The following is a 13,336-nucleotide window of genomic DNA, read 5'->3' on the forward strand; positions in this document are numbered from 1 at the left end:
AGTTTTCTGAAGATTAAAATGTGATGTCTTTAAAAGTTAACGCACTCACCTCACTGGGCTTTTTTCTTTGTATAGTACACCTTTTCCAGAGGGTTCGTCTATTTCCCAAGCTTTCTCTGTTTATCTCAATGTAGATGACGACTAAATCTAAAACTTAGAGCTTTCCTCTTACCCAGATTATGCATTTTAATCTCCCATTTTACACTACTCTCAGCGCCTTGCTGTCATTCAAAAGGCAGTTGAGAATGAAATTCCTAACCAGGTAAGGGAGAATTTTAAAAATGATGACCTTAAATGGAGCCAGGAAGAGAGGAATGACTGCGGTTACCATTCTGCTCCCTTCAGTACTGCAGGTAGAGTGTGCGGAAGGTGCTGTGCCGTGGAATGGGCTGTGCTCCTGGCACAGCGGGCAGGCAGAGCTCAGGAGACAGCCTCTGGATGCCAAGCTGATGGCAGAGGACTCCGTTTTCTTTAGCCTTTCAATCTGGCTGTTTGAAATGGGTGGTAGGCATTATAATTGTGTAAAAACTTTCATGGGAATTAATAATAGTTATTTCAACATCAAGGTTTCTGTTCTTTTGCATTTTACTTACCATTTGTAGTAAAAACATGATTTTTAAACCGTGCTTTTTGATACATTGTTATACCATTTTAGACCTGGTCACACTTAAATTTCATTCATGGACCTGCTGTTTTACTAGACAGCTTTTCAAATATATTCATGCTATGCCAAAGAAAAATGTTTCACATTTATTCTTCTTAGTTACACATCTTTTATATCTGAAAATAGTGTTCTCATTATTTAGAACAATGGAAAAGACTACTTAGTTCAGGTTAAAAATCAAAGAACTGAATTAGTTTGCCAGGAAGAATATCTGAAAACATTATTCCTCAAACCTTGGTAATGAACTGTGTCTCCACAGATTTACACACGGTCTGTAATTGACCCTGTTCCTGCACCAGTTGGTGATTCACATGTTGATGGTGCTGCCAAGTCTTTAGACAAACAGAAAAAGAAGACTAAGATGACAGATGAAGAGATTATGGAGAAATTAAGTATGTTATCTACATTTTACATCATTGTTAAATTGTTCACGGCTCTTAAAACATTTGGCCCAGATGGATTTTAACTTACACTTTACATTGTGACTTAAAGTATAAAGAATAAATTGTTTCCTTATAGCAACAGTAGCTTCAATTACAATCTGGTGATGTCACCAGGTTCACCCCTAAATCCCAGCACTAGGTCAGGAGATCAAGACCAGCCTGGCCAACATGGTGAAACCCCGTCTCTACTAAAAATACAAAAATTAGCTGGATGTGCTGGCATGTGCCTGTAATCCCAGCTACTTGGAGGCTGAGGCAAGAGAATCACTTGAACCCAGGAGGTGGAGGTTGCAGTGAGCCAAGATTGCGTCGTTGGGCTGGGCGCGGTGGCTCACGCCTGTAATCCCAGCACTTTGGGAGGCCGAGGTGGGCGGATCACAAGGTCAGGAGATCGAGACCATCCTGGCCAGTATGGTGAAACCCCTCCTCTACTAAAAATACAAAAATCAGCTGGGCATGGTGGCATGTGCCTGTAGTACCAGCTGCTTGGGAGGCTGAGGCAAGAGAATCACTTGAACCCGGGAGGCGGAGGTTATAGTGAGCCGAGATCGCGCCACTGCACTCCAGCCTGGCAACAGTGAGACTCCATCTCAAAAAAAAAAAAAAAAAAGCGAACCGGCCGGGCACTGTGGCTCATGCCTATAATCCCAGCACTTTGGGAGACCAAGGTGGGTGGATCACTTGAGGTCAGGAGCAAGACTAGCCTGGCCAATGTGGCAAAACCCCATCTCTACTAAAAACAAAAATTAGCAAGGTGTCATGGCAGGTGCCTGTAATCCCAGCTACTTGGGGAGCTAAGGCAGGAGAATCACTTGAACCTGGGAGGCGGAGATTGCAGTGAGCCGAGATCGTGCCACTGCACTCCAGCCTGGGCGAAAGAGCGAGACTCAGTCTCAAAAAATAATAATAAATAAAATTAACAATTAAAGAATGCTAATCTAGAGGGTTCAAGGAAAAATACTGTATGGAAGGATTGTTTTAAACATAAAGCCTGGGCATAGTGGCTCAAACCTATAATCTCGGTACGTTGGCTGGCCAAGATAGGAGGATAGCTGGAGTCCAGGAGTTCAAGGCCGAACTATACAACTTAGACCCCGACTCCACCCCCTCAAAAAAAAAAGAAAAAAAGAAAATTAACGAGACCTGGTGGTGCATGTCTGTAGTCCCAGCTGACTGGGAGCCTGAGGCAGGAGGATTGCTTGAGCCCGTGAGTTCAAGGCTGTAGTGAGCTGTGATTGCGCCACTGCACTCCAGCCTGGGTGACAGAGTGAGACCCTGTCTCTAAAAAATAAACAAATGTTTATATGCCCCATGTTTATTTGGTTTTGATTTCTCAGTGCTTTCAAGTATAAACCTGGCTCTTACTCTGTTATTATTATTATCTTTTTTTTTTTTTTTTTTTGAGACAGAGTCTCGCTCTGTCACCCAGGCTGGAGTGCAGTGGCGTGGCTCACTGCAATCTCTGCCTCTCCAGTTCAAGCGTTTCTTCTGCCTCAGCCTCCCGAGTAGCTGGGGCTACAGGTGTGCGCCACCACACCCCGCTAATTTTTGTAGTTTTAGTAGAGATGGGGTTTCACCATGTTGGCTGGGCTGGTCTCAAACTCCTGACCTCAGGCATGAGTCACCACACCTGGCCTGCTCTGTTACTCTATGAGCATATAAGAATTATTTTAGGAGAGCTGCTACTTAAAAAAAAAAAAAAAATTAACTAGAATCCTAATTGTCATCATTTAGTTGTGACCTTTAGCTGTCACATCCCCAGTCTTTTTGGTATCTTTTTGTTCTTAGCCTCTTATTATTGATCCTGTTTCTTTGCTTGTTGACTTGAGGTTGGGTACCTACATAAAACTATTTATGTCAGTTTCCTTGATATGGTCCTGTCCTTTTTTACCTTGAGCAAGTGAAAGTTTAATGTGGTTTTTCTTACTAGTAATAAGAATATAAGTTAGGATTTTATGTCCAACTTCCTAATTTTAAAACCTCTTTCTTGTGACTTTGAACTTTCCTAAAACAAACATATGATTAGTTTATGTCAGAGCATAGTAATTTTTATGGTAATAAGTGGTTTTCTAAATATATTGAAAGATGAAATGTATACTGGAAGAGTCAGAAAGACCATTTAGGGTTTAGATAGCCTTTATTATTTATAATACTAAGTAGTCTCAAACTTACCTATTAATAGATATATTCAAATATATCTATTTCTATATTCAAATATATCTATTTTATATTCAAATATGTCTATTTTCTTGAGATTACCTGATTCTAAAGCTGAACATCTGAGAACCTAATTAATCTCTGACAAACTGGTACAGTCTTTTCAAAATGTGACCATTATTGAGCAAATGATTAGTTAGGAGGTCTAACCTAATGGAAATAATGTGTCTTCTTGTTTCTGTTACTTTTAAACTTTTAATGTGTCTTGTTTCTGATACTTTTAAACTTTTATTATGTATTTAAGTTTCTTTAGTGTTTTGTGTTTGAAACCTGTTATTTTTGGAACTTAGTATTATGTTTGAAAATCACTTATAAAAACAGTGGAGTTCATTAAAAGGAATAATAATATCACAATCAATTTACACTTAAAATGCTTGACTGAGCTTCCAGCTTTTTGTTTATTCTAGGAACTATCGTGAGCATAGGTGACCCTAAGAAAAAATATACAAGATATGAAAAAATTGGACAAGGGTAAGTATTTGTGACTGTATTACGATAATATTCAGTATTCAGTATTTCCTGGCTTTATAGCATGATGTTTATTTTGCCTGCCGACATCAAGTACTTATATAGTATTCTGTGAGTGGTACCCTTGGGGGATTTGTGTAAATAAATAATGCAGTTATTTGTAGATGCTGTTAAAAAACTGTACTAGTTGTTAGCAATGACTGTGTATCATTATTTTTTCTTAAGTGTCATTTCCCATCTGTGATAATTAGAGGGAAGAATTGCCCATAAAATATATTTAAAAGACAATAAGAATATTTACTGCATGACTATAAGCAATAAAAAATGCATTTAAATCATGTCATTGTGTATTGACTTTTGAGTCTACTGATCTTCTGATTTTGTTGTGTAATTTGTATTTTTAAAGTATACTAACTAAACTCCTTTTTTCTGTTGCTTGGAAGCAAATAAACACCTAAATTTTTAATGTTATTAAACTCTGGAAAGCATTCTGTGAATTTAGAGTGAGGGCTTAAGCCATTTTTGAAAACTTCCATATGAATTCCTTCCTCCCTTCCTTCCCTTCCCTCCCTCCCTTCCCTTCCCTTCCTTCCCTCCCTCCCCTCCCTCCCTTCCTTCCCTTCCCTCCCTTCCCTCCCTTCCCTCCCTCCCTTCCTTCCCTTCCTTTCCTTCCTTCCCTTCCCTCCCTTCCCTCCCTTCCTTCCCTCCCTTCCCTTCCTTCTCTTCCTTCCTTCCCTTTTTTTTTTTTTTTTTTTTTGGCGGAGTCTGTCACTCAGGCTGGAGTGCAGTGACATAATCTCAGCTCACTGCAACCTCTGCCTCCCGGGTTCAAACGATTCTTCTGCCTCAGCCTCCCAAAGTGTTGGGATTACAGGTGTGAGCCACTGCACCAGGCCTGAATTTCTTCCTAACAGCTAAATTCAATTGCAGCACTGGTTTTATGAAAGAGAATTGAAGATTATCTTACTATTTTTGAGCATGAATGAACAAGCAATACCTATCCATATGGATGACCATCACAAATCCAGTGTTGAGTCACAAAAGCAAGTTGCAGAATAATATGTGAAATGAAACTATATGACGTTTAAAAATTAGACAAAGTATATTTTATAGGGATACATATCTGCGTCCTTTGTAGTTAAAAGTATGGAGAAATGCATGAAAATGATGAACACCAAATACAGGATAAACACCAAATACAGATCACCTTTGGGAGGAAGGAGACTGCTGTCGGAAAGGGCTTATGGGAATCTTCAAATTATTTACAGTTATTTGTATCTTAATCAGGGAAGTGTATCCTTAAGTATATGTTATATAATTTTTTTCCTGCTCTTTTTTCCCTACATTTTTGTAGGTCTGAAATATTTCACACATAAGTTTTGCCGTAAGGATTGTCTCTTTCTTCCCCCACCCCCTTTCCTCAGGTTTTTGCTTTTACTCCTTTTAAGCACGTTAGGTCATCCTGTTCTTTAATTCTTTTTCAATTGCTTGAAGTGTAAAGTCTTTGGATATTGCAAATGCTAGTGATTTATCAACCTTAAATCTGGTTGTGTGTTTTCTCCCTCTAGGGCTTCTGGTACAGTTTTCACTGCTACTGACGTTGCACTGGGACAGGAGGTAGTTACTTTGTTGTAATCCTGGGTGTTACCATTATTTTGTCATATAGGTGGAAACTAGATGAAGCTGGGAAGAAGCAATAGGAACCTCTTTTAAGTTGAGCCCGTTGTAAGAATCGCTCTACGTATGTTTATAGCACTTCTGTCAGTAAGGCGGGGAAGGACTTATGAGTTCAATGTCATAAATAAGCAAATACTTAAAAATTGTTTCCTCAGCTTGAAGTGAAAAGAGGATTAATTCTTAGTATTGGACTGACTGTGGGTGTATTAATCAACTTCAAGATAAATCTAAAACTAGGTTCTAAACATTACAAAGCATTGTGCACAGGCAGTGTGCAAGGCAAGGTGCCACCTGGGAGTAATAGCATGGTGTAATACAGTACACGTACCGTGAGTTATCAACTGCTTGGGGTTTGTAATTTTCTAAGAGAATTCCTAAACCTGGTTTTTTTCAATCCTGTTTTCATTATAGGTTGCTATCAAACAAATTAATTTACAGAAACAGCCAAAGAAGGAACTGATCATTAACGAGATTCTGGTGATGAAAGAATTGAAAAATCCCAACATCGTTAACTTTTTGGACAGGTAAGTATGACTATTCCTTAAACACCGGGAGAAAATGTAGAAATTTTAAGTCTCATGGTTTCGGGGGTGGGGCTGGCCACTTTGGAATAAACTGTCAGTGCCGAGAAATAAGATGGAAGAAAGAAGAGGAGAGGTAAAAATAGCACAGTGCAGTTTTAGAAGGTCCTTCTCTGCAAGGACATCACTTGGCAGGTGAGAGAAGGCAGTTAATTGAAGGCCATAGCTGGTGGTGTTTATACTCATCGCAAACGACCTGAAGCGAACACATGAATGGTTGGCTGTGATTCGTGTCTTGACTGACAGAGGGGACTGGTTACATGGTTTTTAAACTTGTGGATCAATTTTTATTTCAAATGCTATCCTTCATGGACAAATTTATATGTCTATCAAAACCTCATTTAGTTGAGGAATTAATGTTAAATAACAGACCAAAAAGCAGAATAGAAAATGATGCATATTGGCTGGGTGCAGTGGCTCACACCTGTAATCCCAGCTACTCAGGAGGCTGAGGCAGGAGAATTGCTTGAACCCAGGAGGTGGAGGTTGCAGTGAGCCGAGATCGCACCACTGCACTCCAGCCTGGGCAATGGAATGAGACTCCATCTCAAAAAAAAAAAAAAAGAAAAGAAAATGATGTATATTACTACAACTGCATGAGAGAAGATTCGTTGAAAATGATAACAGTGGTTTTATTGAAGATAGAGGTGATTATAGGTGATTTTCTTCCATATTTAAATTTGTTTAGAATGAGGAAAAAATAATGTTTAGAGACTTTATCCCTAGTTATGGAGAACATGTTCATAGAAATAAACTTTTCAGGCTAGGCACGGTAGCTCACGCCTGTAATCCCAGCACTTTGGGAGGCCGAGGCAGGTGGATCACCAGGTCATGAGATCGAGACCATCCTGGCCAACGTGGTGAAACCCTGTCTCTACTAAAAATACAAAAATTAGCTGGGCATGGTGCCGCACACCTGTAGTCCCAGCTCCTCAGGAGGCTGAGGCAGGAGAATTGCTTGAACCCAAGAGGTGGAGGCTGCAGTGAGCCGAGATCGCGCCACTGCACTCCAGCCTGGCAACAGAGCAAGACTCTGTCTCAAAAAAATAAATAAAAAATAAACTTTTCAGGTACAGTTCCCTGCTTTTTAAAATAACATTTCAAGTCAGCATAGTGTGGTGGTTAAGATAAGCCAGGGGCTTCGGAATCGTTGATCCTTGGCTTCATATTCTGGTTCTGTCACTTCCTATTAATAGCTGTGTGCCCTTGGATGAGTCACTTCACCTCTCCAAGCCTTTGTCTGTTTATCTCTAAAACAGGACTAGTAATTTCTATATTGTAGGGTTATTTTAATCAGAATGAGCTATGTGCATACTCAAACTACAGTTGTGGGCAAACTGTAACTTTAAAATGATTCAGGATCATAACTTCAGTTATTTTTCTGTGCTGTTACGTAGCAGCTTTCCAGTTTTCTTCCTAACTCTCAAGCTACCAGCTCTAGTTTTATTGTTAGGGTGTTTAATATTTGAATTCTTCAACATAGAATACCATGTGTTTAGGAAAAATAAAAGTGTGACTGTATTTGGTATGTTGTATTTTTAGTTACCTGGTAGGAGATGAATTGTTTGTGGTCATGGAATACCTTGCTGGGGGGTCACTCACTGATGTGGTAACAGAAACGTGCATGGATGAAGCACAGATTGCTGCTGTATGCAGAGAGGTAGGTTTGCCTCCTTCTTGATATGTTATGGTGATATGTGGTTAGCAAGAAGTGAACAAAAGGAAATTTTTCTGCACAGGTAATTGTTATTGTGGGAGGTGCTTTCTCTGTATACATTCTCTGCAAATTACTCCATCTCCGTGCCATTTCATCCTACACAGGAGTTTCAGCCCTTTCCTTCAGGTATAAGATAATTTGGGAATGAATTGTGGACCTTTGAAGATCCAGATTCACAAGGAAATTCTGGTAGAGTGATGATGATCATTTACCATCCAAACAGGACACTTTTGAGAGTAAAAGGGTATATATCATTAGAAATACACCACTCAGGCTGGGCGCGGTGGCTCACGCCTGTAATCCCAGCACTTTGGGAGGCCGAGGCGGGTGGATCACAAGGTCAGGAGATCGAGACCATCCTGGCTAACACGGTGAAACCCTGTCTCTACTAAAAATACAAAAAAATTAGCCGGGCGTGTTGGCAGGTACCTGTAGTCCCAGCTACTCAGGAGGCTGAAGCAGGAGAATGGCGTGAACCTGGGAGGTGGAGCTTGCAGTGAGCCGAGATCACACCACTGCACTCCAGCCTGGGCAACAGAGCGAGAGTCCGTCTCAAAAAAAAAGAAAAAGAAATACACCACTTAGCTGGAAGTGGTGGCTCATGCCTGTAATCCTAGCACTTTGGGAGGCCAAGGCAGGCAGATTCCCTGAGGTCAGGAGTTTTGAGACCAGCCTGGGAAACATGGCAAAACCCCATCTCTACTAAAAATACAAAAATTAGCCAGGCATGGTGGTGCACGCCTGTAATCCCAGCTACTCGCGAGGCTGAGGCGGGAGAATCGCTTGAGCTGAGGAGGCAGACATTGCAGTGAGCCAAAATTGCGCCACCGCACTCCATCCTGGGCAACAGAGCAAGATTGTCTCAAAAAAAAAAAAAAAGAGGCTGGGTACAGTGTCTCTCGCCTGTAATACCAGCACTTTGGGAGGCCGAGGCGGGCAGATCATGAGGTCAAGAGATTGAGACCATCCTGACCAACACGGTGAAACCCCGTCTCTACTAAAAATACAAAAATTAGCTGGGTGTGGTGGTACGCGCCTGTAGTCTCAGCTACTCGGGAGGCTGAGACGGGAGATTAGCTTGAACCCAAGAGGCGGAGGTCACAGTGAGCCGAGATCGTGCCACTGCATTCCAGCCTGGCGACAGAGCAAGACTCCGTCTCAAAAAAAAAAAAGAGAAAGAAATACGCCACTCAACCGTGGAAACTAGAACTATCTCAGGTCAAGCAGGACACTTATTTGCCTTCAGTATCAATAAGTCTGTGCCTGGCTTCATTGAGTTCACTAATGGTGAAGAAACCGGTTATTTCTTTATATTCATTAATGAATTTCTAGACATATTATTAGCTTAAACCAGTAGAATTCTGCCAAATTGCCAATTTAAGCCAAAAATAAGCCTTCTTTTTTCCACCTATATCTGAGCTTTTTCTACAGATAAGATTTGGGCTAATGGTTTGCTTATTGTCATTGAAACTTCTAATGTCATAGGAATCACTGTCACAAAGGGCAAAACTTTAAGTTTATAAGACTATATTGTGTTTTCTATGATTTGGCTTTCAGCAGTTCTTCAGTGACATGTGAATTACAAACTTTGTTCATGTAAGGATGATACATATATATTTCCCTTTTCCATCTGTCATTAAGGTGTTAAAAATATTAAAATTTTAATTCTGATTTGTGTTCTACCTGAGGAATAGTACCTCTTTGGTAGAAGGGAGGAAATAAGAACTCTTGAATAGAATATTAATAGAATATGATAGTCCTTAACAATGCATGCTTGGTCACTGAAAAGCTGATAAAAACAAGAATTTACCTATTTATACTTAATTTTGTTTTTTCTAATACATTTCTTTGTAATTGATATAAAAATTAATTTTGGAAGTTCCTCTAATTTGGGTTTTCTTTTGTGTGCCAGAACTTTTAAACTGTGACGAGTTTGTTTCTATTTATTTGTACAAGTATTTTCTGGAGCTTTGAATCTGATGATTGCCTGGTAAATGTATTGCGGTAACACCCAATTTATCTGTTTTTCCTTGAATGAATAGTAGAAGATTTTGGATGAGATTTTTAGTTGTACAGACTTTGTTCTCCTCTGATGGGAGTAAGAAATAAAAGCACAGCTAACTTACACCCGTAGTTCAAAAACACAAGAGTGAGCAGATTTTTAAAACGTCATCTCGTTCTCGTTTGTAAGGAAAGGAGTAGTTTACCCCCACTTTGTGACTCAGTGCTCTCTGAAATATGGCATAAGAGGAAAGTTATTCTTGCATCATTCATGTCCAAGTTGTAGATACAGCTTAATATAAAATCGGGCACTGAAGAACATCTTCTTTCTGATGAACAGCTAAGTGGAACCAGGCCACCCAGAATCTTACCCGCTTCTCAGTGGCTCACATTGATTAGCCTTCTGAGTATCTCATGTTCAAATGGGAATGATCAAGGTTTTTTCATTACTGTTGAAAAGATTTCTGAGGAGCCTGTGCATGTTTACCAAGTGTTGTATACCTTTAGGCATTTAAACCTGAAAGAGGCAATTTTTTTTTTTTTTTTTTTTTTTTTTGAGACTGAGTCTTGCTCTGTCGCCCAGGCTGGAGTGCAGTGGCACAATCTCAGCTTACTGCAATCTCTGCCTCCTGGATTCAAGGGATTCTCCTGCCTCAGCCACCCAAGTAGCTGGGATTACAGGCCTGAGGCACCACACCTGGCTAATTTTTCTTTCTTTCTGTCCGTCTTTTTTTGTTTTTTCGAGATGGAGTCTTGCTCTGTCACCCAGGCTGGAGTGCAGTGGTGCGATCTTGGCTCAGTGCAAGTTCCGCCTCCCAGGTTCAAGCGATTCTGCTATCTCAGCCTCCTGAGCAGCTGGGGTTACAGGTGCACACCACCACACCCAGCTGTTTTCTTTGTATTTTTAGCAGACACAGGGTTTCACCATGTTGGCCAGGCTGGTCTCGAACTGCTGACCTCAGGTGATCCACCCGCCTCGGTCTCCCAAAGTGCTGGGATTACAGAAGTGAGCCACCATGCCTGGCCTCCCCTGGCTAATTTTTGTATTTTTTAGTAGAGATGGGGTTTTGCCATGTTGGCCAGGCTGGTCTTGAATTCCTGCCCTCAAGTGATCTGCCTGTCTCACCCGGCCAGGAGGCAAGACATTATACAGACCCAGCTAAACAATGTCTCTGAGTAAGATCAGAGGGTAGGAGCGGATCTACTGACTTTTTAAAAAATTTTATTTTCTTATATAAAACTTTAAGGAGGAGATCTAATTACTTTTCATAACTTTGTATATAAGAGAGGATGTTTTTTCTTTATAAATAAAAGTATTGGAGGGTCTTCTGCTGGGCACTGGAAGCAATGCTCAGGCCATAGCTACTGCATGTGCCTCCCTGTGTCTTTTCAGGGACTATTTCATTAATAGGTGTTTTTCTTCTGTTCAGTGTTTACAGGCATTGGAGTTTTTACATGCTAATCAAGTGATCCACAGAGACATCAAAAGTGACAATGTACTTTTGGGAATGGAAGGATCTGTTAAGCTCAGTGAGTAACAAATGGACAATTCACAATCATTTATTATAATTTTCTGCCTTTTGTTTAATTAAAAACTTTTCTTGACCAATGCAAGGATTAATAATGATTTAATATAGGAAGAGGTGAGACCTTTGAAAACTGAGTGATCCTCTGAGGGTTTTAACTAATCAGTGCCAGAGAAAGGACTCGCTGGATAAGACATTACCTAATAATTACCACTAGATAAGACATTATTAGGTAATGTCTTGTCTTGTCTTTTTGAGATGGAGGTTTGCTCTTGTTGCCCAGGCTGGAGTGCAACCTCCGCCTCCTGGGTTCAAGCGATTCTCCTGCCTCAGCCTCCTGAGTAGCTGGGATTACAGGTGTGCACCACCACACCCAGCTAATTTTTGTGTTTTTAGTAAAGACGGGGTTTCTCCACATTGGTCAGGCTGGTCTCTAGCTACTGAACTCAGGTATCTTCCCGCCTCAGCCTCCCAAAGTGCTGGGATTACAGGCGTGAGCCACCGCGGCTGGCCATGATTGCTTATTTTTAAGTAATCTTAATGGGGAAGCTCTCATACATTTTTGGTGAATACACATGAAAATGAATTAAACTTTTGGATGACATTTTTTTTTTCTGGCTCTGCCATTTACTAAGTGAATAACCTTGGATAAGTTGTCTTTATGCCTCAGTATTCCTATTTGTAAAATGGGAATAATTGTAATAATAAATGTACCTTTCTCATAGGGTTACCATGCGGATTAAATATTTTAATTCTTATAAGGTACTTAAACAGTATCTGGATTGTTTTAAGTACTCATTTTAGCTATAAATATTGTTTGACCTAACTGTTACTCTTGTAGAATTCTCTCCTGTAGAATTTCTGAACTTACATACCGCAGTAAGTACAAGGATGTTCTCTGCAATATTGTAAAGAAAAACCAAAACTATCTTAAGTGTTGAGCAGTAAGGGAATAATTACATGGATTATTATATTTTTATATTCTGTATAGTTTTTAAGATGAGGGAGGCCGGGTGCAGTGGCTCACGCCTGTAATCCCAGCACTTTGGGAGGTCGAGGCAGGTGGATTGCTTGAGCCCAGGAGTTTGAGACCAGACTGAGCAACATGGCAAGACTCCATCTCTACTAAAAATACAACAATTAGCCGGGCGTGGTGGCAGGCGCCTCTAGTCCCAGCTACTCAGGAGGCTGAGGCAGGAGGATGGCTTGAGCACAGGAGGCAGAGGTTGCCGTGAGCCGAAATTGCTCTACTGCACACAGCGTGGGCAACAGAGTGAAACCCTGTGACAAAAAATTTTAAAATAAAAAATTTTTTAAATAGGCAGATGTACTAATATGGAAAGATCTCAAGAAATGGTTTTACCAAAGTTTACAGAGTATCCTGATTGGTAATACAAACCAAACCGTTCATAGATATTATTCATGCATATGTACATGCATAACCAACAGTCTAAAGCTTACAAACCTAAATTTTAACAGTAGTCACATATGAAATGGAATGGGTTTAACAGTATAAGAAAGAATTCTAAATACTAATCCTGACTTTTCCACTAAATGAACATTGAGTACTACACTAGGCATCCTGCACCTCCATTACAGGTGAGATTGAGAAGATAATGCTGGTGGCGACCTTAGGCTCTCTGCTGAGATGATGGATGTTTAGTGATTCTGGCTTCTGTTTGTTTTATTCAAAAATAGTTTACAGCTGGGTGTGATGGCGCACACTTGTAATCCCAACACTTTGGGAGGCCAAGGTGGGAAGATCCCTCCCATGTTGCCCAGGAGTTCAAGACCAGCCTAGGCAACACAGGGGGACTCTGTCTCTACAAAAAATTTTAAAAATTAAACAAAATTAAAAGACAAAGTAGTTTCCATGACCTGACCTTTACCTGATTCACTGCATTTAGTTTTGGTGTCTACTTTTGCTTTACTTTTTCGTAGACCTCTTTCAGTTTTATTAAATTTTTTAGGATAGAATGAATTATTCAGAATAAAAGGCCTCCTGATAATTTGGACTCTGTGGCAAGTAAAAGTAAAATGTG

General features: G+C 40.3%; 1 protein-coding gene across 4 annotated transcripts in view; it reads left to right on the top strand.

Annotated features, from left to right (window-relative positions):
• Window positions 1–13,336, top strand: part of PAK2 (p21 (RAC1) activated kinase 2) — a 92,791-nt gene that overhangs the window by 67,002 nt on the left and 12,453 nt on the right. For all 4 annotated transcript variants that reach the window (NM_002577.4, XM_011512870.3, XM_047448218.1 and 1 more), the window contains exons 7-12: window positions 924–1,056; window positions 3,732–3,795; window positions 5,361–5,409; window positions 5,881–5,993; window positions 7,593–7,710; window positions 11,199–11,298. In NM_002577.4, the coding sequence (NP_002568.2) occupies window positions 924–1,056; window positions 3,732–3,795; window positions 5,361–5,409; window positions 5,881–5,993; window positions 7,593–7,710; window positions 11,199–11,298 (577 nt within the window). The remainder of the gene's footprint in view (window positions 1–923; window positions 1,057–3,731; window positions 3,796–5,360; window positions 5,410–5,880; window positions 5,994–7,592; window positions 7,711–11,198; window positions 11,299–13,336) is intronic.

The sequence above is a fragment of the Homo sapiens genome, chromosome 3 (assembly GCF_000001405.40).
Source record: "Homo sapiens chromosome 3, GRCh38.p14 Primary Assembly".
In the NCBI taxonomy this organism is placed as follows: Eukaryota; Metazoa; Chordata; class Mammalia; order Primates; family Hominidae; genus Homo; species Homo sapiens.